At 39.0% G+C, this 23,724-nt stretch overlaps 1 protein-coding gene across 7 annotated transcripts in view, besides 1 other annotated feature; it reads right to left on the minus strand.

Moving 5' to 3' along the window:
• Positions 1–23,724, minus strand: part of VAV3 (vav guanine nucleotide exchange factor 3) — a 394,020-nt gene that overhangs the window by 273,664 nt on the left and 96,632 nt on the right. The window lies entirely within an intron of this gene.
• Positions 22,386–23,082: an enhancer, noted in NCBI's record as "OCT4-NANOG hESC enhancer chr1:108409832-108410528 (GRCh37/hg19 assembly coordinates)". NCBI's record gives its function as "activates a minimal SCP1, AML or CMV promoter by ChIP-STARR-seq in naive H9 embryonic stem cells {active_cell/tissue: H9 hESC(naive)}" and the evidence as "EXISTENCE:reporter gene assay evidence [ECO:0000049][PMID:30033119]".

Here is a 23,724-nt window from a genome sequence, read left to right on the forward strand (position 1 = left end):
CTCCCATCTCCCTGGGACAGAGCACCTGGGGGAAGGTGCAGCTGTGGACGCAGCTTCAGCAGACTTAAAGCTTCCTGCCTGCTGGCTCTGAAGAGAGTGGTAGATCTCTCAGCACAGCGTTTGAGCTCTGCTAAGGGACAGACTGCCTCCTCAAGTGGGTCCCTGACCCCTGTGCCTCCTGAGTGGGAGACACCTCCCAGCAGGGGTCGACAGACACCTCTTACTGGAGAGCTCCGGCTGGCATCTGGTGGGTGCCCCTCTGGGACGAAGCTTCCAGAGAAAGGAACAGGCAGCAATCTTTGCTCTTCTGCAGCATCCACTGGTGATACCCAGGCAAACAGAATCTGGAGTAGACCTCCAGCCAGACCTGCAGCAGAGAGGCCTGACTGTGAGAAAGAAAACTAACAAACAGAAAGGAATAGCGTCAACATCAACGAAAAGGACGTCCACACAAAAACCCCATTCAAAGATCACCAACATCAAAGATCAAAGGTAGATAAATCCACAAAGATGAGGAAAAACCAGCACAAAAAGGCTGAAAATACCAAAAACCAGAATGCCTCTCATCCTCCAAAGGATCACAACTCCTTGCCAGCAAGGGAACAAAACTGGAAAGAGAATGAGTTTGACGAATTGACAGAAGTAGGCTTCAGAAGGTGGGTAATAAAAAACTCCTGCGAACTAAAGAAGTATGTTATAACCAAATGCAAGGAAGCTAAGAAACTTTTAAAAAGTTAGAGGAATTGCTAACAAGAATAACCAGTTTTGAGAAGAACATAAACGACCTGATAAAGCTGAAAAACACAGCACGAGAACTTCATGAAGCATACACAAGTATCAACAGCCAAATAGATCAAACAGAAGAAAGGATATCAGAGATTGAAGATCAACTTAATGAAATAAAGCATGAACACAAGATTAGAGAAAAAAGAATGAAAAGGAACAAACAAAGACTCCAACAAATATGAAACTACGTGAAAAGACCAAACCTACATTTGATTGGTGTACCTGAAAGTGACAGGGAGAATGGAACCAAGTTCAAAACCACACTTCAGGATATTATCCAGGAGAACTTCCCCAAACTAGCAACACAGGCCAACATTCAAATTCAGGAAATACAGACAATACCACTAAGATACTCCACGAGAAGAGCAACCCCAAGACAAATAATTATCAGATCCCCAAGGCAGAAATGAAGGAAAAAATGTTAAGGGCAGTCAGAGAGAAAGGTCAGGTTACCCACAAAGGGAAGCCCATCAGACTAACAGTGGATCTCTCTGCAGAAACTCTAGAAACCAGAAGAGAGTGGGGGCCAATATTCAACATTCTTAAAGAAAAGAATTTTCAACCAGAATTTCATATCCAGCCAAACTAAGCTTCATAAGCAAAGGAGAAACAAAATCCTTTACAAACAAGCAAATGCTGAGAGATTTTATCACCACCAGGCCTGCCTTCCAAGAGCTCCTGAAGGAAGGACTAAATACGGAAAGGAAAAGCCAGTACCAGCCACTGCAAAAACATACCAAATTGTAAAGACCATCAACACTGTGAAGAAACTGCATAATGACAGGATCAAATTTACACATAACAATATTAACCTTAAATGCAAATGGACTAAATGCCCCAATTAAAAGACACAGACTGGCAAATTGGATAAAGAGTCAAGACCCATTGGTGTGCTGTATTCAGGAGACCCATCTCACATGCAAAGACACACATAGGCTCAAAATAAAGGGATGGAGGAATATTTACCAAACAAATGGAAACCAAAAATAAAGGAGCGGTTGCAATCCTAGTCTCTGAGTCTCTGACAAAACAGACTTTAAACCAACAAAGATCAAAAAAGACAAAAAAGGGCATTACATAATGGTAAAGGGATAAATGCAACAAGAGCTAACTACCCTAAATATATATGTACCCAATACAGGAGCACCCAGATTCATAAAGCAAGTCCTTAGAGACCTACAGAGAGACTTAGACTCCCACACAATAATAGTGGGAGACTTTAACACCCCACTGTCAATATTAGACAGATCAACGAAACAGAAAATTAACAAGGATATTCAGGACTTAAAATCAGCTCTGGACCAACTGGACCTAATAGACATCTACAGAACTCTCCACCCTATAATCAACAGAATATATAATCTTCTCAGCACCACATTGCACTTATTCTAAATTGACCACATAATTGGAAGTAAAACACTCCTCAGCAAATGTAAAATAATGGAAATCATAAAAAACAGTCTCTCAGACCACAGTGCACTCAAATCAGGACTCAGGATTAAGAAACTCACTCAAAACCACACGACTACAAGGAAACCAAACAACCTGCTCCTGAACGACTACTGGGTAAATAACGAAATTAAGGCCAAAATAAATAAGTTCTTTGAAACCAATAAGAACAAAGAAACAATGTGCCAGAATCTCTGGGACACAGCTAAAGCAGTGTTGAGAAGGAAATTTATAGCACTAAATGCCCACAGGAGAAAGTGGGAAAGATCTAAAATCGCCACCCTAATATCACGGTTAAAAGAACTAGAGAAGCAAGAGCAAAGAAATTCAAAAGCTAGCAGAAGGCAAGAAATAACTAAGATCAGAGCAGAAATGAAGGAGATAGAGATACAAAAAACCCTTCAAAAAAATCAGTGAATCCAGGAGCTGGTTTTTTGAAAAGATTAACAAAATAGACCGCTAGCCACACTAATAAAGATGAAAAGAGAGAAGAATCAAATAGACATAATAAAAAATGATAAAGGGGATATCACCACTGATTCCACAGAAATACAAACTACCATCAGAGAATACTATAAACACCTCTACGCAAATAAACTAGAAAATGAAGAAGAAATGGGTAAATTTCTGGAAACATACACCCTCCCAAGACTAAACCAGGAATAATTCAAATCCCTGCATAGACCAATAACAAGTTCTGAAACTGAGGCAGTAATTAATAGCTGACCAACTAAAAAAAGCCCAGGACCAGAGAGATTCACAGCTGAATTCTACCAGAGGTACAAAGAGGAGTTTGTACCATTCATTCTGAAGCTATTCCAAATAATAGAAAAAGAGAGACTCCTCCTAACTCATTTTGAGGCCAGTCCTGATACCAACACCTGGCAGAGACACAACAAAAAACAGAAAACTTCAGGCCAATATCTCTGATGAACATCAATGCAAAAATCCTCAATAAAATACTGGCAAACCAGCCAGGTGTGGTGTCTCACGTCTGTAATGCCAGCACTTTGGGAGGCTGAGGAGGGTGAATTGCAAGGTGAGGAGATCAAGACCATCCTGGCTAACACGGTGAAACCCTGTCTCTACTAAAAACACAAAAAATTAGTTGGGCATGGTGGCAGGTGCCTGTAGTCCCAGCTAATTGGGAGGCTTAGGCAGGAGAATGGCGTGAACCCTGGAGGCGGAGCTTGCAGTGAGCCAAGATCATGCCACTGCACTCCAACCTGGGCAACAGAGCAAGACTCCGTCTCAAAAAAAAAAAAAAAAAAATAGTGGCAAACTGAATCCAGCAGCACATGAAAAAGCTTGTCCATCACGATCAAGTCAGTTTCATCCCTGGGATGCAAGGCTGGTTCAACATATGAAAATCAATAAACATAATCCATCACATAAACAGAACCAATGACAAAACAACCAACCACATGATTATCTCAATAGATGTAGAAAAGGCCTTTGATAAAATTCAACACCTCAAAAACTCTCAATAAAGTAGGTACTGATGGAACATATCGCAAAATAATAAGAGGTATTTATGACAAACCCACAGCCAATATCATACTGAATGGGCAAAACCTGGAAGCATTCCCTTTGAAAATCAGCACAAGACAAGGATGCCCTCTCTCACCACTCCTATTCAAAGCAATATTGGAAGTCCTGGACAGGGCAATCAGGAAAGATAAAGAAATAAAGGGCATTCAAATAGGAAGAGAGGAAGTCAAATTGTCTCTGTTTGCAGATGATATGATCGTATATTTAGAAAATTCCATCGTCTCAGTCCAAAATCTCCTTAAGGTGATAAGCAACTTTAACAAAGTCTCAGGATACAAAATCAATGTGCAAAAATCATAAACATTCCTATACACCAATCAGACAAACAGAGAGACAAATCATAAGTGAACTTCCATTCACAATTGCTACAAAGAGAATAAAATACCTAGGAATCCAACTTACAAGGGATGTGAAGGACCTCTTCAAGGAGAACTACAAACCTCTGCTCAACGAAATAAAAGAGGACACAAACAAATGGAAGAACATCCCATGCTCATGGATAGAAAGAATCAATATCGTGAAAATGGCCATACCGCCCAAAGTAATTTGTAGATTCAATGCTACCCCTATTAAGCTACCATTGACTTTCTTCACAGAATTAGAAAAAACTACTTTAAATTTCATATGCAACCAAAAAAAAAAAAAAGTCTGCATAGCCAAGACAATCCTAGGCAAAAAGAACAAAGCTGGAAGCATCACACTACCTGACTTCAAACTATACTACAAGGCTACAGTAACCAAAACAGCATGGTACTGATACCAAAACAGATATATTGACCAATGGAACAGAATAGAGGCCTCAGAAATAACACCACACATCTACAGCCATCTGATCTTTGACAAACCTAACAAAAAAAAACAATGGGGAAAGGATTCCCTATTTAATAAATGGTGTTGGGAAAACTGGCTAACCATATGCAGAACACTGAAACTGGACCCCTTCCTTATACCTTATACAAAAATTAAGATGGATTAAAGACTTAAACATAAGACCTAAAACCATAAAAACCCTAGTAGAAAACCTAGGCAATACCACTCAGGACACAGGCAGAGGCAAAGACTTCATGACTATAACACCAAAAGCAATGGCAACAAAAGACAAAATTGACACATGGGATCTAATTAAAGATCTTCTACACAGCAAAAGAAACTATCAACAGAGTGAACAGGCAACCTACAGAATAGGAGAAAATTTTTGCAATCTATCCATCTGACAAAGGGCTAATATCCAGAATCTACAAGGAACTTAAACACATTTACAAGAAAAAACAAACAAACAACCCCATCAAAAAGTGTGCAAAGGATATGAACAGACACTTCTCAAAAGAAGACATTTATGTGGCCAACACACATATGAAGAAAAGCTGATCATCACTGGTCATTAGAGAAATTCAGATCAAAACCATGAGATACCATCTCATGCCAGTTAGAATGGCAATCATTAAAAAGTCAGGAAACAACAGATGCTGGAGAGGATATGGAGAAATAGGAACACTTTTACACCATTGGTGGGAGTGTAAATTAGGTTCAACTAATGTGGAAGACAGTGTGGCAATTCCTCAAGGATCTAGAACTAGAAATACCATTTGACCCAGCAATCCCATTACTGGGTATATACCCAAAGGATTATAAATCATTCTACTATAAAGACACATGCCCACGTATGTTTATTGCAGCACTATTCACAATAGCAAAGACTTCAAACCAACCTAAATGCCCATCAATGATAGACTGGATAAAGAAAATGTGGCACATATACACCATGGGATACTGTGCACCCATAAAAAAGAATGAGTTCATGTCCTTTGCAGGGACATGGTTGAAGCTGGAAACCATCATTATCAGCAAACTAACACAGGAACAGATAAACAAACATGGCATGTTCTCACTTATAAATGTGAGCTGAACAGTGAGAACAGATGGGCACAGGGAGGGGAACATCACACATCAGGGCCTGTCGAGGGGTGGGGGGCAAGGGGAGGGATTGCATTAGGAGAAGTACCTAGTGTAGATGATGGGTTGATTGGTGAAGCAAACCACCATGGCACATGTATACCTATGTAACAAACCTGCACATTCTGCACATGTATCCCAGAACTTAAAGTATAATTTTTTTAAAAAAAAGAAAGAAAAAATAAAGTTTTCTTCCTTTTAATTTGTAGAGCCAGACTGATCAACTATTTTTAAGGTTTCTCTTCCTAATTGTCATTCCTCCCTATTATCTGCAAACATCTAATAAAGGCTACCACACATATATATATATATTTCCTTTCGTATGGCTGCATAGTGGGAAACCAAGCAACAGTACAGGTAAGTGTGCCCTTGGCATTGCCCTCCACAGCAACAGAACTTGAAGGAAGAAAAGTTATCCTGAATTCTAGGTGGCAATAAGCAGAAAGAGCAGCAGGGGCCCAAGGTAAGGCTGGGAACAAGACAGAGCTGAGAAGAAGTGCAGAGAAGCAACTGCCACATGAACAAAGAAGCCGGCCCTCCGGAGCTTGCAGTGAGCCGGGATAGCGCCACTGCAGTCCAGCTTGGGAGAAAGAGTGAGACTCCGTCTCAAAAAAAAAAAAAAAAAAAGAAGCCGGCCCTCATTCCCAAAGCTAGAGGAAGGGGACTCATGAGAAGAGGGAAAGGAGAAGAGCTATCACTTGGCTTACAAGCATTTGTCATCATCTGTATCATCTGGCCTTAAACAAATGTGTTATAAAAGGGTCACTGTCATATCTATTCAGTTTTAATTTGGCTGCTAACACCCAGCATACTTGAACTAGAAAAACACTCAGAAAAAAAAAAAAAAAAAAGCAAATTTTTGTTTCAATAGTGAATTTTCATTTTATTTTCATTTTACCTTTAATCTTAAATGTTCTTGCCTATTAAGCTGGAAAGCCTTTATTCATTTTATACTGAGCCACAGAACAAGATTTTCATATTTATTTGCAAGATAAAAAAGTCACCACATACCCTACACTTGTTAAGAGCTCTTTAAATACACAGGAAGTCAAAGGGAAACAGAAGTGCTCCCACAGGATGCTGTCCCCAAAGGGAACAGGCTCTGAAAAATAATTCTTGCCAAATCAGGATGTTGCTGGAAATAAACATATAATAGAGAAGATTTTTTAAGATGCATCTAATGTCACCATTAGGCAGCATCAGCTAAATGTGTTTCAGCAAATATATGAATCTACCCACTTAGAAAAATTTGTGATCGATTCAGTATAGCGCCTTGTTTATATTTGAGAAAATACAGTAACTGATGCTATTTTACGAGTTTGCTGATTTTTTTAAAAAAGTTTTTCAAGAGTTTCAGGTTTTACTAGATACAATAAAATGGAAACATAATTCTCAATTTCAAGTACAATACAGTGAGATTGCTTTTAATCTGTAATCCTCATTGAGGCAGAACTGATTCCTGGAAAGGCTATGTTCAGAGGTACAATTAAGTTATCATACCTCCAACTAAGGATTCTGGTGCTAAGCAACTGAGGCCAGAGGAATGACTACTAGAAGTTTGAATTGTTTATTAAAATGGAACTAAGACTGTACCTATACCTTTAATAAACGTTTTCAATGGGACTATATATTTTTCCCTTATGAGGATGATGAAATTCCCTTTTTAGTTTCCCTGTTCCTCTCTATGCATAATTCTCAACCTTCCAAAAAAATAATTTGAAGACTCAGGTATGTTCCTAAAGGACTCTTCAAAGTCTTAAGTATTTTTAAAAGAAAATGAGTCTCCAATTAAGGAAGACAAAGTCATTGCATACAAAAATTTGTAAAATAGAAAAGGAATAAAAACCACCTCAAATCTAGCCACTGAAAAACAAACACAGTTAACATTTTGGCAAGCTTCCTTCCAGGCTTACATATATAATCTTAATAAAACTGGGGATCATGGTTTACATACTGTTTTATTAGATACTTTTCATTAATTGTGAGGATTTATTTCATTCCATTTTTCTTCTAAAATATTTAAATGGCTGCAGAGTTCTCCATTTTATGAAGTTCTGAAAACTCATTTAACCAACTTTCTTCTATTGAATGGTTGTTAGTTTTTATTCCAAATTATTAAATTAACATTATGTATATCAACTGGTATCTTAAGTATGTAAGACTCTCTGAATATTTATTTTTATTAATGTCTTAAAAGTATATTTACTAGGTCAAAGACCATAAACAATTTTAAGATTTTAGATAGACCATGACAAATCCTAACCAAAAATGGTTTATCAGCAACCACTCTATCTAAAAGAGTGCATTTCACCAGGCAAATGCTATTCAAAGGATAGGATCACCAACATTTCACACCACCTTTATCAATTCTCAGTATTTTCATAGGAAAGAAAAGATTTGCCTATCTAATAGACAAAAATGAAGGCTTGTAGGTTTTTTTTTTAATTTGTATTGATTTTTGCCATCATTTCCAACAGGTTTGAAAGCATGTTTACTGGTCACTCATATTAATAAGTGTATGCAAGTATGTGCACATGGATGTGGGTGAAAACTGTTTTTTGAGCATTCTTCTTTTGAGTTTTCCATTTATGTATTGATCTAGGAGAGCAGCAGTTAAGAGCTCGTGCTCTGGAATCCGACCCCATGGGTTCAAAATCCCTTCTCTACCACTTATTAGTCATGTGGCTATGGCAAGTTACCTAACCATCATCTGTGAAACCAAGATAATAACAGAATGGAGCTGGGAATATTAAATGCAATCATCTATGCTGCAACATAGGAGACAAGTGTTTTCCATTGTAATCCATTATTTACCCTTTATGGAGAATAAAACTTTCAACACTATATTTTCCATAAATAATATGTGTTTTGTCAGAGTTTGCCATATGTGCCTTTTACTTGGGGGTACTTTTTGAGATACACAAGTTTTCCATTTTCATAAATGAAAATGTATCACCTTCTGTACAAGTTCTTGTTTCTATACTCAGAAAGATCCTCCCCCATCCCTCAAGAACCAAAAAAAAAAAATTCATTTATAGTGCTGCAAGTTCTTTTAATGTCTTTAAAAAAAAAAGTTATTTTTGATGACAAAGCAGGACACAGAAAGACCATCACAGAAAGAGAAAAGCCAGAGAAACAAAAATAGATCAAAAGAGAACCCAGATCAATGAAGGTTATCCAACATTCTATTTCCTAAACACAATCCTATATTAGGGCTAATTTGACAATGTCCTTAAGTAAACCAAGAAACAGTATTTTAACTCCTTTATAAGAGGTAACTAAAGAATATTCCACAGACAACTTATTTATGAGCTAACTTTCTATGTGTTTAACAGCCACTCTTTCAGATCTGAACCCCCTGTGTATGCCGATTAGGTTGTCACAGTGTAGGGTAACTGTATTTTTTTTTTCTAAGTTGGGATATTGCTAAGAGTGAAAGGTCACTATGAATAATTATGCTAGGGGCCAGGCATGGCAGCTCACGCCTGTAATCCCACCACTTTGGGAGGCTGACACCAGCAGATAACTTGAGGCCAGGGGTTCGAGGCCAGCCTGGCCAACATGGCAAATCCCCATCTCTGCTAAAAAATACAAAAATTAGCCAGGCATGGTAGCGTGCGCCTGTAATCCCAGTTACTCTGGAGGATGGGACATGAGAATCACTTGAACCTGGGAGGCAGAGGTTGCAGTTAGCCGAGATTGTACCACTGCATTCCAACTTGGGCAACAGAGCAAGACTCTGCCTAAAAAAATAAAATAAAATAAAATTATGCTAGGTTAACAGACATAAGCCGACACCACCCTGGGCAAACAGATACATATTTACCTTATTACTACCTTGCTGAAGATCTTCACCTTAAAATCTTTTAACAAATGGCTTCAACAAAAAACAATTCCCTTGTTTTCCACAAATTTTGCAATCTTATGATTATGTTGATGGAATCTAATATATTAGATAACTTCATTCACTGACTCCATGTGTTCATCTACCATTTATTTCTCATGCTTCTGCAATCTCATCTCCTGCTACTTCCACTCTACTGAAATTGTTTAACAGTGCTCTAGATGTTGCTAAATCTAATGACATTTCTCTGCAATTTTCCTGCTCGACCACTTTTGCAGTATGTCATAATGACCTCCCTGACCTTGAGACTATCTTTCCCTGCCATAGTGAATCACGAATATGATGGGAGGGTCTCTTCTCTCAGGTATGTGAAGGTGAAAAAGGTTGAGAACTGCTGAAAAATGATGTGAAAGCATAACAGTAACTGCTGTAACAAACCCTAAAATTCTGTATTTTAACATGCTAAAGTTTAATTTCATTCACATAATAATCCCACAATGGTGTTCCTGCTTAGCAGATGACTTTCCCCTACATAGCGACCGAGCATCCATCCCTTTGTGCCTTTGCCATCTTCTAAAGCCAAAACCTCTGTACTCAGTTGGTGTTTAGAGAAAACACACAAAAACAAAAGCATGGAAGATAGCACATCGAATGTTTTTATGGGCCAGGTCTGGGAATGGTACACATTACTGCTGCACACAATCCACTGGCTAAAACTTGGTCACATGGCTAAGTCTAACTGCAAGGAGGCTTGGAAATATAATCTGCCTATGTACCCCAAAACAAGAAGAAATGGGTTTGGTGAACAGCATTCTACTGTCTGTCACAAAAAAGGCTCTTCAAGAAATCTCTGGTATTTAACTCTATTTATTTTATTTTATTTTTTTGAGACAGAGTCTTGCTCTGTCACCCAGGCTAAAGTGCAGTGGCACAATCATGGCTCACTGCGGCCTCAACTTCCTGGATTCAAGCGATCCTCCCACCTCAGCCTCCTGAGTAGCTGCAACTACAGCTGCATGCCACCATGCACAGATAATTTTTGTATTTTTTTGTAGAGATGTGGTTTTGCCATGTTGCCCAGGCTGGTCTCTAGCTCCTGAGCTCAAGGGATCAACAGGACTGGGCCTCCCAAAGTGCTAAGATTACAGGTGTGAGCCACCCCACCAGGCCTGTTAACTTCATTTATATGTTAAATTTGTTAAGAGCAGGGGCAGGAATTGTGTAACAACTGGAGCTTACCCCAAATCTATGAGTTTCAAACATGACTGATGTCCTTGTTAGGACTGGTAGGGTGACCCACAATAAATCTAATAGTATGAGGACTACAAAACCTAATGAAAAAAAATTCAGCCTAATAACAAAGCAGCCAGGGGGAATAAAAGAGGACTCAAAGGCAAGATACAGGAAGATGTCTCACAGCTCTTCCTTTGTGTCAACTCTAGAAAAATACCTGCTGAGTCCAGAGAAAGGAAAATGTGTGGAGAAAGCTGAGAGCACAGGCTCCTTCCACTTCTACCCAGAAAACAGTGCAGTGCTTGAGGTCCAAAGGCTTCACTACCATTGGTGCCCAACAGTCTTCCCTCACAGAAGCTGCAGAGGCAGCTAGGAAGCAACAGAAGCACAGCTGGGCATGTTCTGAGTAGGAGACCACCCCATGCACACTCATAAGCAAGCTCACAAATGACACTGTGACACAGGTGGAGTGGGTGAGAAGCAAGATGAGAGAAAAGCCTATGGTCAGCAGCAGGACTACTCAAAAGCCGACATGAAATCTGGGATTCCCAAATACAAGGAGAGACACTGAAGGAAGGTGATGGTACTGATGGCAGTCACAGAAATGTGATTAATTACGGTTTACATCATTCCAGTGAAATATCCCACATTGCTATGTTCCTGAAAACTGCTTACATTTATAATATTCTTAGTAGTTGGGAGCTATTGAGTAGAGGATATTGCATTATTCTGTAAATTTTTACATAGCAATTTTCTGATTTGAGCCAAAGTCAAACCAGAATATAACATTTTTTATGAGTAGATAGCTGAAATTTCTATCCAATATGCTGATTTACTGATCAAAAGACACATGAAATTTTAAATGGTACTTTTCCCCCAGGACCGAAATATTAAAAAAAAAATCAACATTACTGTTATAATAGTTAATTTAAATTGCCTATCAAAGTTATGATAACTAATTGATAGCACTTTATTTTGTTCTCAAGTTTAATTCTCTTGTTTAGTAACCAGCTTCTCGAAAATTGGCTGAAACCTATCTAATAGAGCAAATATGAGATTTTTGTTTTTTACTACAAAAATCTAATGATTCATGCAATTTCTAAGTATGAAGGAAGGCCAGGCATGGTGGCTCACACCTGTAATCCCAGCACTTTGGGAGGCGGAGGCTGGAGGATCACTTGAGCACAGGAGTTCAAGACCAACCTGAGCTACATGGTGAGACCTCATCTCTACAAAAACTTTTAAAATTAGCTGGGTGTGGTGTTGTGTGTGCCTATAGTCCTAGTTACTTGGCAGGCTGAGGCAGGAGGGTCGCTTGAGCCCAAGAGTTTGAGGTTACAGTGAGTTAGGATTGCACCATTTCACTCCACTGTGGATGACATGGTGTGATGGTTAATACTGAATATCAATGTGATTGGATTGAAGGATGCAAAGTTTTCCTCATGGGTGTGTCTGTGAGGGTGTTGCCAAAGAAGGTTAACATTTGACTCAGTGGGCTGGGAAAGGCAGACCTACCCTTAATCTGGGTGGGCACCAACTAATCAGCTGCCAGCATGGCCAGGATATAAAGCAGGCAGAAAAACACGAAAAGGCTACACTGGCTTAGCCTCTTGCCCACATCTTTCTCCCATGCTGGATGCTTCCTGCCCTCAAACATCAGACTCCAAGCTTTTCAGCTTTGGCATTCAGACTAGCTTCCTTGCTCCTCAGCTTGCAGACAGCCTATTGTGGGACCTTGTGGTGGTGTGAATTAAAACTACCTAATAAATTCTCATATATATGATATATATTCTATTCTTATTAAAAATCCTAAGTTAACTATAAATTTTGAACTTTGTTATAACTTTTTAGACTGTAGTAACATTTTCCATGACAATGAATGGTACAGGTTTAGGAACAATGGAGGATATGAAACATGGAAAAAAATTCCATTTCAACTCTTTTCAATTTCTGTTTCACTGCCGTAGACCTTCTTGCGGGTATGTTCTTTTGGACAAATCTGGGCTTTGTATTTTTTTTCTGTAACAAAACTAAAAGCTTTTGTCATAAAATATTCAGAATGAATGCAGAATGAAAGGGGGGGAAGTTATCGACTGACTGTGCCTGATTCCTGTCTCAGAAAAAGAATTGTCAACTTTACCAAAAGACTTTGCTGGGCCTCTTAAAGGTTGAATGAAGAATGCTTCCTAGATTCCTTTTAGATCAGCTGGAGTTCGAGAGAGAAAAAATGTGGAAGAAAGGTATATGGACTACATGGGAAATTTTTCATTAAAAAGAGGATACAAATGTTATATTATTTATAAGACCCAACTTTGGTGCAGATTTTATTTATGTAACAAGTAATATATAGTAACAACATAGGTAAAGAAAATGTTAATCCTGAACAAACTACAACCACTCTGGCAATAATAAATGTAATAAAGAATATGCTTATACATTTTATACTTTTTGAGTTTAGGGAATTCTTTTCACTCTTAAGTGAGTTAACCACTCTTAAAGATATACCACCACCAGAATTTAAACTAAAGGAGGAAAATCCACTTAACTACAAGAAAATTTCCTTGCTTTCTTCCCATTTCTTTGCTATTAGAGGGCTAAGATTAAAAATGTGATCTTCATTTTGAGATTAACATATTGACAGCACTGAAATTATACAAGATTTTCTAAAAACAGTTTCTTCTCTTCTAAACCTTCCTTCAAAACTATTGCTTTTGAAATTTTAACTATTATATTTCTTAGAACCAAAATCTAAGAAAAATTTAAGTCAGATACCATCTAAGAAAATTTTAAAAAGGAGTGAAACTTCTAGAACAGAGGTCCCCAACCCCCAGACCAGTACCAGTCTGGTACACAGCAGGAGGTGAGCAGTGCGTGAGTGAGCATTACTGCCTGAGCTCTGCCTAGAGTCAGATCAGCAAGGGCATTCGATTCTCATAGAAGCATGAAGCCTACTGTGAACTGTGCAAGCGAGGGAACTAGGTTGTGCACTCCTTGTAAGAATCTAATGTCTGATGATCTGAAGTGGAACGGTTTCACCCCCAAACCATTCCCCCAGTACTCGGTCCATGGAAAAATTTTCTTCCATGAAACCAGTCCCTGGTACCTAAAAGGTTGGGGACTGATGCTCTAGATGAGAGTATCCTGGAAGTGTGAGTCACAGCAAATATTTGGGTAAATGCTCCATAGAAATGAAATCCCATGGGCAAGAATATGACATCTCATTCTTCAAATGTTCTTGAAACTATACAGTTGTTTTAGGCAGGGATAAATCAGAATTCTAACATTTTTGACAAAGTGTAAATGGCTTAAATACTGTCTAAATAATTTGGGGTTTGGGTGTTTTTGTTTTCTCTTTTTTGTTGTTGTTTAGCCAGATAAAAATCTTAGCATTCAAGCAACTAAGACTCCAAAACTCTGAAAGATTCTTGAGGAGTTTTTTTTTTTTTTTCATTTTTTGGTTTTTGGAGACAGAGTCTTGTTGTGTCACTCAGGCTGGAGTAGAGTGGCACCATCACAGCTCACTGCAACCTTGACCTCCTCCCACCTCAGCCTCCTGAATAGCTGGGACTACTGGTGCACACCACCAAGCCCAGTTCATTATTTTATTTTTTGTAGAGATGAAACCTCACTATGTTACCCAGGCTGGTCTTGAACTCCTGGGGCTCCAGTGATTCTCCACCCTCTGTTTCCCAAAGTGCTAAGATTATAGACGTTGAGCCAGCACACCTAGCCCCTTGAGACATTTCTTGATTAGAAAACATGCTTTAGGATCTATTTATCTAAAAGAGTACATTCCTTGTATTTAAACTCTGCATAAAAACATGGAATAATTCTCGATGACTGATTTAGTGCTTAGCTGATAATAGTCCTAAAATACTTGTAAACTGTTTAACATTATACTACTTATTTAAATCTTAACAAAAATATTTACTGAGTCCCTTCCACACTGAATGCAAGCCAAGGCTTTTAAAAATCCCCTAAATTACAGAAAACTAAAGCTTTATTCAAACTCAAAGAGGAGCAGTATAAATTCAATATAAATACATCAAAAATGATAATCACCTTTGGTAGATCATCAGAAAATTAAATTCAAATCAAGATATTTATAAAACTGCTAAAGAAAACATTTTTCTTAGACTCATGAAGACATGACAACCAAAAGTAATGTCTGAACCTTTATTCAATCATGTCAAATTCAAAGAAACTAGCTATAAAATCCATTGTGGAGAAAACTAGTAAAATTTGATATTTTAAATATCTGGATATTAAATAATACCAGGGAAGTATTATTCACTTTGTTATATGTGATAAAGATATTATGGTTATATAGAAAAATATCCTTATTTTGACGGCTGTACCATTTGAAGTATTTAGGGGACAAATGTCATGATGCCTATCTATATTTACTTTTAAATTGTTCAGCAAAAATAGCGGTATATAAGTATTTATAATAGATAGTAGATGAATCAAATATGGTCAAATGTTAGTTTTTGTTTTTGACAGGGAGTCTCACTCTATCACCCAGGCGAGAATGCAGTGGCATGATCTCGACTCACTGCAGCCTCCACATTCTTGACTCAAGCCATCCTCCTACCTCAATCTTCCAAGTACCTGGGACTACACATGCATGGCACCACACCTGGCTAATTTTTGTATTTTTTTGTAGAGACAGAAATGATAATTTTTCAATAGTAGATATATGAGCGGTGATTGTAGTAGTTTTCTAGGTTTTATATGTTTGGTTATCTCTATAATAATTTAAGTTCTTGGGCTTTTAATTTAGCATTTTCCAAATTACCACTGGGAACAAAGGCTTTAAGCTAGTTCATGAACTCATTTCTGTATTAACCTATTGGGTTTCTTTTTTACTTGACTTCAGGGCTGCTGAGAGATCACTGTAATCCTCAAACCACTTGGTATGATGATAGTGTCCCTTTCTTTAAATGGCTTCTATTCTCTCCTTCGATTTTAAATTTCTTAACCTTTAACTGTGCTGTTTCATATGTGTTATCCTAATCAGACATTTCAAATTACCCACAGAAGTTAGAAAGAAATAATCAAAAAAGAAAGAACTGAGGAGACGACGTTTATTTCATTTTAAGAAGAGAAGCCAAGCACAGTGGCGTGCACTTGCAGTCCCGGCTACTCAGGAGGCTGAGGCACAAGGACTGCTTGTGCCCAGGACTTTGAGTCCAGCCTGGGCAACACAGTGAGACCCTATCTTTTACAAAAAAAGAAGACAACAAAGAAGAAAAGACTTACAGAAACATAACAATCTTCAAATATTTGAACGATTGTCCTACAGAAGGTGTAGAAATTAATTCTGTGCTGCTCTAAAACCAATGGAAGAAAATTTAGAAAGATAGATTATGCTTTATTATTAGTGATGAATCTCTAGATAATTCATTATCCATAACTGGATCCATAATTGGAACTGTTGCTACTTAAGAAATTTCTGTTACATCTCTAGGAATTGTTCAAATACTGCAGAAGGGATTCCAACCATGAATCCAAAACAGTATAGAAAAAAAGGAATATATGCTTTTGATTGCTTATCTTTCTACACGTCTATGTATTTGGAGAATCTTGGGTGCAGTCAACTGACCAAATTCCAAGTAAACAAAGCTAAAAATACTTCAACAATTTTTTTGTAAAAGCCAACGCTAATTAATATCATCTCCCTTTCATCATTATACTTCATAGTAACTTTGCTAAAATTCTAAATTGCTATCTCCCCAAGAAACTGTACTTTATCATCTGGCAGCCAATAAATTCTAATTTTTCTGCTGCTTCTTCCCAAAAGCCTAAGGCTATTAGGAAAAATCAGCAGTGATTTTGGTAAAGAATCCTTGTTAAACTTTATAGATATAAGGAGCAGATGCATAGCTAATTCTAACATGAATCTAGCCTTCTATGTATGTTTTTATTACTCTACCCAATCCATATCCAATGCTATCAATCATCATTAAAATTTGACCTAGACTGACCAATAAAAATAGTGTCCAGTGTCCACCCATATCCGAATATAACCATTCTAGATTGATCATCTTGTCTAAGATGAATTATAAATATGCAGCTACTTTAAAAGACAACTCAAAGAGTGTAAATGATTCAGCACACAATCTATAAGGCACCTGCTTACTCAGAAGCAGCAAGCAGCATCCTTCATTTCCTCTACACAGAAACAAAGAATGAGAGTAGCAAGGTAAAGCCTATACCTAAGGTCACCAAGCACATCTCTGTGCAAAATTAATTGTGTATACACATGCATACATACTTCAGTGGGGAGTGTTCTGAAAGATTTAAAAACCATTCATTTTTCTAACCTAATGATTTCTGACTGCTCTACGCACTGGCCTGTCCTGACACCACTGGTCCTCAGACACTATGTTGATTTAGCAGAACTTTTCATGTCCAAAGAGCATTATAATTGGCATTGAGGCAAACCAGAGAAAGGCCCATATTCAACTAATATTTCTTCAATGGAGTTCTCCAAAGACACAGGTGCTTTAAGTGGAAAACAAGTGACTCAGAAACTAAACTCTATCCAGAGGAAGCCTGCGCAGCCGGACTCCACACAGCTGCAGTGACTGCCAAGCATTGTTTCCTGTAGTTGTTTGGTGCTCATACCACTACTGGTGCACACTTCCTCTGCCTAATCCTGTGCAAATGAGAGCATTCAGCCAGTTCCACCCCCACACTACCCCTCTCACTGAGCATGGGAAGCAAACACCAGCCTCCTTTATTCCTACAGATGTGCATAAGCCATTAAAAAAAAGAAGACACAGAAAATAAACATGGAAAGTGCCATCCTCCTTTTCTAGGAGATCTTGTTGATAGGAAATACACAGGCACAACAGTCAAAGGCCAAGAGTTCTGCCTCACTGTTGTTTGTGTAGACAAGTAAATTGACTATTAATATATCACCCACTGGAATTAACCAATTCTCCTTACATATTTCTCATCCATCATATTTACAATTTATTGTAAGCAAATGAAGACTCAATGACCTCCATATGTAACTTGGATAAACTACATCTTACCCTTAAGCCAATGTGACAAGGTCAAGGATTTCTGAACACAGCTCAGATAGGATACGGCCCAACAACTAAGGCTAGGAATTAGAATACGTGCATTAGTGAGCATATATGTGCCATAGCCTTGGAAATACAGACAAATATTCCTAGAAGGTTTCCTATTACACAGAAAGAAAATATTTTCCATTTTTAATAGAAATGATAAACCCCAAATTTCTAAGTGTTCTACCAGGGACCAAGCTTCCACTAGATAATCAGTAAATACCAAAAAAACCCAACCAAGCAACCAACTGAACATCAAAAAAAGGAACAAAGGGAAAATTTAGGATGGCACAATATAGCAAAAATCATAGAAAAATAAAACATATCTACTCGGTTGTAAAATATACATAAATTAAGGGTAAATGCCATTAGAATTCTCCTACATTAATTTGAAACCCACTGTAAGTTATATTTGCTCTTGCTCCATTATTTCCCTTGCAATAAACCCTACTTTTCCCCTCGCCAGGTTTCCAAGGCTCACTATTCTCTCTTCTCATCCTCTGACCACTCACTTCAATTCTTAAACATCCCAAATCTCTCAAACTCTGGGCCTCTTTTACAGTTGCTCTAGTAAAGGTCTGCATCATTTTTTAACCAGACTGCCTCAGTTTCAAGTCTGCTCCTCCTACCACTGGCATTACAATTATCCACTACAGCCTCCCCCACTGACAGAATGCTTAGCTCAAGCACTTAGCAGGTCATCTCCTGTCTATGGTCATCTCCTGTCTATCTGTTAAAAAGTACTCACTGGCCCTTTGTCAGAATCAGTGCAGACCCTGCAAGATCTCAAGGGCCCTCATACTCTGGCCCCAATCTCTGCTGGACCTCAAGATCCAGCTTGCCCCTGTTGCATCTTACACTCAAGCTGTGAGGACTATCAGCGAAATCCAAAAATTCCATGTGGATTACCACTTCGGCACCTTCCTAAATAACTTTCCCTCTACTTACGTATATAGATACGTATATCTTGGTATGTCTGTAAACCTCTGTGTGCATATTTACATGTATATTAGGAAGGAAATAGAGTTTTTTTAAAAAACTACCCGAAAGATTCACTGTTTGATCTATAGAGGAATCCTTGAAACAGCAAAGAGAAGTTTGATTTCAGTTCTCAAACCAGATTTCCAGTTTTGGAAACATTCTCAGTAGCTATGCCAAATGCAGACGTAAAATCTAGGTGATATCTTTATCATGCTTTTAGCTCTTTATAATGCCTTTCTCTCTCCAGAAGTGTATGTACAGTCAAGTTTTCTCTCTAAAAGTTTAAAATTTTAAGGGAATGTCAATATTACCAAAAATGAAGTATACCCAGGTTTAAAAGCCTCTGCAGAAGAGCTTATATATAAACAAAAGGTATGAGAGAGCCTAAGCCTTGATGTTTTCAGAGAGGATTACACAACTAAGAATCATCAAAGCAAAACATTACTTTACAAAATGCAATGTATACATATTACATCTACCAATAAGTGGCATTTTAGAATCAGGAGAATATCAGAGTTGAACAAACTGAGGCCAAGTTGAAGGAGTAGCCCAAGGGGATCTACTGAAAGAGGTAGGATAGAATCTAGTTAAAATGTGCTTTATAACTTATATAAAACTTAATTTAAATAAGAGGGCAAGGGCCAGTCGTGGTGGCTCATGCCTATAATCCAAGCACTTTGGGAGGCTGAGGTGGGTGGATCACTTGAGCTCAAGAGTTTGAGGCCAGTCTGGGCAACATGGCAAAACCCTGTCTCTACAAAAAAATGCAAAAATTAGCTGGCTGTGGTGGCATGCACCTGTAGTCCCAGCTACTCGGGAGGCTGAGGTGGAAGGATTGCTTCAGTCAGAGAGAAGGAGGTTGCAGTGAGCCAAGACTGCACCACTGCACTCCAGCCTAGGCATGGAGGGTGAAACCCTGTCTCAAAAAATAATAAATAAATAAGTAAATGTGTGAGTACTAGCATCCCCTTCTCACTGGGCTGTCACTATTTCAAATGGGTTTCCTTCCCAGTCTGTCTAAAGTGGCTTCCTCCAGCTGCTCATCATTGTTCTCTGTTTCTTTCCTCAGTGGCACTTATCACTGGTTGTAATTATCTTGTTTGTTTATGCTTTACCAATTTGTTTCCTTAACTTGGATAGTGATGGACAGTGACAGTGCCTTGAGAGCAGGGGGTCTTGACTACCTGCTCCTCCACCCTGATAAACGAGCACATGGCATACAAATACTTCCCAATGAGTAAATGATGGGTGAATTACTCAGGAGTTACCTCTGGCTGAGCCTTACCCCCTGCCCCACACTGCACTGGTTGCTTTTCCCTCAGAATTCAATTCACACTCTTCACCACAATTCCATGCAGTAGGGATCCTCATCAGGGCCATTTTACAGATCAAAACATGAAGGCTCTGAGAGGCTGAGCAACTTTCCTGCACACAGGTGGCTGGGGGCAGGGTAGGGTGAAAGTCAGTTTTACTTGATCTCAAAGTCTCAGGATGAGCTGAAGAAAAGAGCCAATGTAATGTGTCAAGGTCCAATTTCTGTGGGGCAGAGAAGCAGGGGGAAGGTCCCAGTTGAAACTGAGGGAATGTGCAGAGACAAGTAGCAAAGCCAGGCCCAGAAGACTCAATATATCCAAGAACCAACTAAGTCCAGAGCTCTGGATAAAGCACATAATTTCAGATTTTAAGCAGTGTGTGTATGAGTGTAATGAGTGTATGTGATCTTGAATTGAGTCACCGCAGACAAGGGACTAAAGGGAATGAAAAGAAAAGGCATTCCAGGCAAAGGAAACAATATTAATCAATATTAATCTGGTGAGTCATGATGATTTATAATTTGGAAGGACTTAAGCGAGGGAGTTTATGGGAGTAGGAAAGTGAGAAATAAGGTTAGAAAGGTAGGCAGAGGCCTGATCATGAAGAATCTTGTGCGGCTTGTAAAAGAGTTTAGATGTTATTCTCTTATAAACAACAGGGATCCACTATCAAGTTTTAAACCTGTTACAGCTAGTTAGATAGGCAAGAGTGGACAGGAAAGGGTTCTCCCAGCCACTAGGACTGTCAGGTGAAGGTTTGGCAATTATCACACTGCCTCTCTAAAAGTGATAACTTGGCAGCTGATGCAAGGGAAAAGCCACTTCCTGATGGTCCACACCTGTTGCACTAAAGTGTTAACTGAATGCAGGCACCAGAGATAAGCAATTTCCTGGGAGTACACAGTAAGAGACAAAATGGCAGAGTATGAGTTTCCAGGGGCACTCCACCAGAAAAAGGGAAAAAGTCTCAGATAGGCATGCATACAACATACTAAACACACTGTGTGTGCTCACTTCCCAAGGATAAGGAGGGTACTGGGCTTGCAGGCAACCCACCCTAAAGGAAGAATCATGGGAAAGGGGCCAGCTTCTAAAGTCCTAGGATCAAGGTTAAACACTGCACTTGACCTCAGTGTCTGCTTGGGTCTCTTCCAAGCATACTTTCCTTTCTTTCCTGTTCTAAAGGCTTTTAAAATAAACTTCCACTCCTGCTCTGAAATTTGCCTCGGTCTCTTTTTCTGCCTTATGCCCCTCAGTCGAATTCTTTCTTCTGAGGAGGCAAGAATTGAGATTCCTGTAGACCTGTACAGATTCGCCACTGGTAACTCAGATACCTTCCCCTGGTGATAAACCCATGAGTAAAATGATCAGATCTACATTTTTGGAAGATTATGTTGAAGATGAGCTTGAAACGATTCAAAACTGATGGCAAGAAAACACCTAGAAGACAATTTCAATAATCCCAGTGATGAGTACCTCAACTAAAGGCAAAAGCAAGGAGGGTTAAAGAAAAGGCATTTTGGCTTGGCATGGTGTCTCATGCCTATAATCCCAGCAGTTTGGGAGGGAGAGGCGGGTGGATCACCTGAGGTCAGGAGTTCAAGCAAGACCAGCTGGGCCAACATGGCGAAACCCCATCTCTACTAAAAAATACAAAAAATTACCCAGGCATGATGGTGCACACTTGCAGCCCCAGCTACTCGGGAGGCTGAGGCAGGAGAATCACTTGAACCTGGAAGGTGGAGGCTGCATTGAGCCGAGATTGTGTCACTGTACTCCAGCCTGGGCAAAAGAGCGAGACTCCATCTCAAAAAAAAAAAAAAAAAAAAAAAAAATAGGGCATTTGTAACCATTTAGCTCCTGGCAGGGTGAACAAAACAAGAAACATTACCAAAATAGAAATGTCTCCAAAGGAAAAAAAAAAGTACTTCAGTTTTATACATAATGAGTTTGAAGCAATTGTGTGATACCTAAATAGCATGATATCTAAATACCTAATATCATGTGCAAATATGAGAAATTCTGGAGTAAACAAAAGTTTGTTTTCCTCACTGCAGGACTTTTCAGTTCCTTTACTATGCTATATCTCATAAATACAATATGCAGTGTTTACCAAACTCATTGGAACAAGAATATTTTTCTCCAGTCTTCCTATTAACATTTCTTAGGACAATGGGATTCTTTGCAAAGTTATTTGGGAAATATTATTCCAGAAGTTTTCAACAGTCTTTAGTTTACAGAAGAGTAAAGAGTTTATTGAACTGACTCAAAAATAATTAGGAGCAGACTAAAAACTGGACTTGAATAATCACTAAGGTGTAAAAAATGTGTTTGCATGGCTCGGGTACTAAAGTTCTATAAGAGGAGGTAGGAATGGAAAAATCTGCCAAGCATTAAATACCCCTACAAAAGGGAAAAAGATGAGAAGGTTGTTAAACAGGTCAACTCCATCCAAAAACAAAGGAGGGCAATAGTGCTAATGATCTGGGAATTGTGTTAACAGCCAGCCAGACACATACATTAGGGAAGGCTAGAAGCTGTTCCCTCCTCCTTTGCCTAAAAAAAGGTAGCCTTGGAACAAGCTATCTTTGTTCAGGGAGGAATCACTGCAGAGCTCCCCCTTAGTTATGTAATTACAGGCAAGCCTCCTACTGCTCAGGGGGACAAAGCAAACGCGGCCTTGGTGAGTGGAGGTTGACTCCTGACAGTACTCCTTGCCAGGCTGAGCCAGCTCTAGGCTGGAAGCTGGCTAATTTGTGGGAAAATTCCAGACCCTTGAGGGAGGAAAAATACTCAGGATCCCAAATGCCGCTCTGAGACTGGAAGTTGGTACCCTGTAAGGGCTGAATGAGGAGGATGTGACCCAGGCTTGCTGACAGAATACAAGGAGCCCCTGAAAAGAATTCATCACAAAGTTAGGGAGATATGGCCTGGCCAGGCTCAATGCAAAAGCTAAAATGCTATAGGGATGAAGGAAACTTGTGTGGGTAGTATGGGGTTGAGAAGGGCTGAAAATACAAGGGCATTGCTAGCATCAGAGCACTAAAGCTGTCCCAGGAACCACACAGAACCAGTCTTGTGCAATAGCACCACACTAGCAGACAGAGAGATCAAGCTCCTGTGGGGCTTTGAAGCAAGGCTGATTTAAGTCCCATGGATGACATAAAGCCCAAAGATTTCTGGATAATTTGAGTGGGAAATACTTCAAGAGAGAAACATCAAACGTGTTTTATGTCAAACAAGTACCTAAAAAGATTTACACCCTAAAATAATTCTTCCTGTTTACATATGTATATATGAAAAAATGTTTTCAGGTGTTGATTAACGTGTATGCACTAGATAATAAGGCTCTTTCAAGCCATGCCAAGGTGAGGTCCCTGGGGCCACCTATAGCCAAGAAAGGCTCAGAAGCCTTTGCTTGGGAGGGTTTTCTTGTGACAGGGAAAGCCAGGCAGAATTTCACAAAGATAGACAGGTAGTAGTAAACCATTGCAGGCTCTCAAGTAGGTTGTCGGGATGCCTGTGGTGACCTTCT

This window comes from Homo sapiens, chromosome 1 (assembly GCF_000001405.40).
Source record: "Homo sapiens chromosome 1, GRCh38.p14 Primary Assembly".
In the NCBI taxonomy this organism is placed as follows: domain Eukaryota; kingdom Metazoa; phylum Chordata; class Mammalia; order Primates; family Hominidae; genus Homo; species Homo sapiens.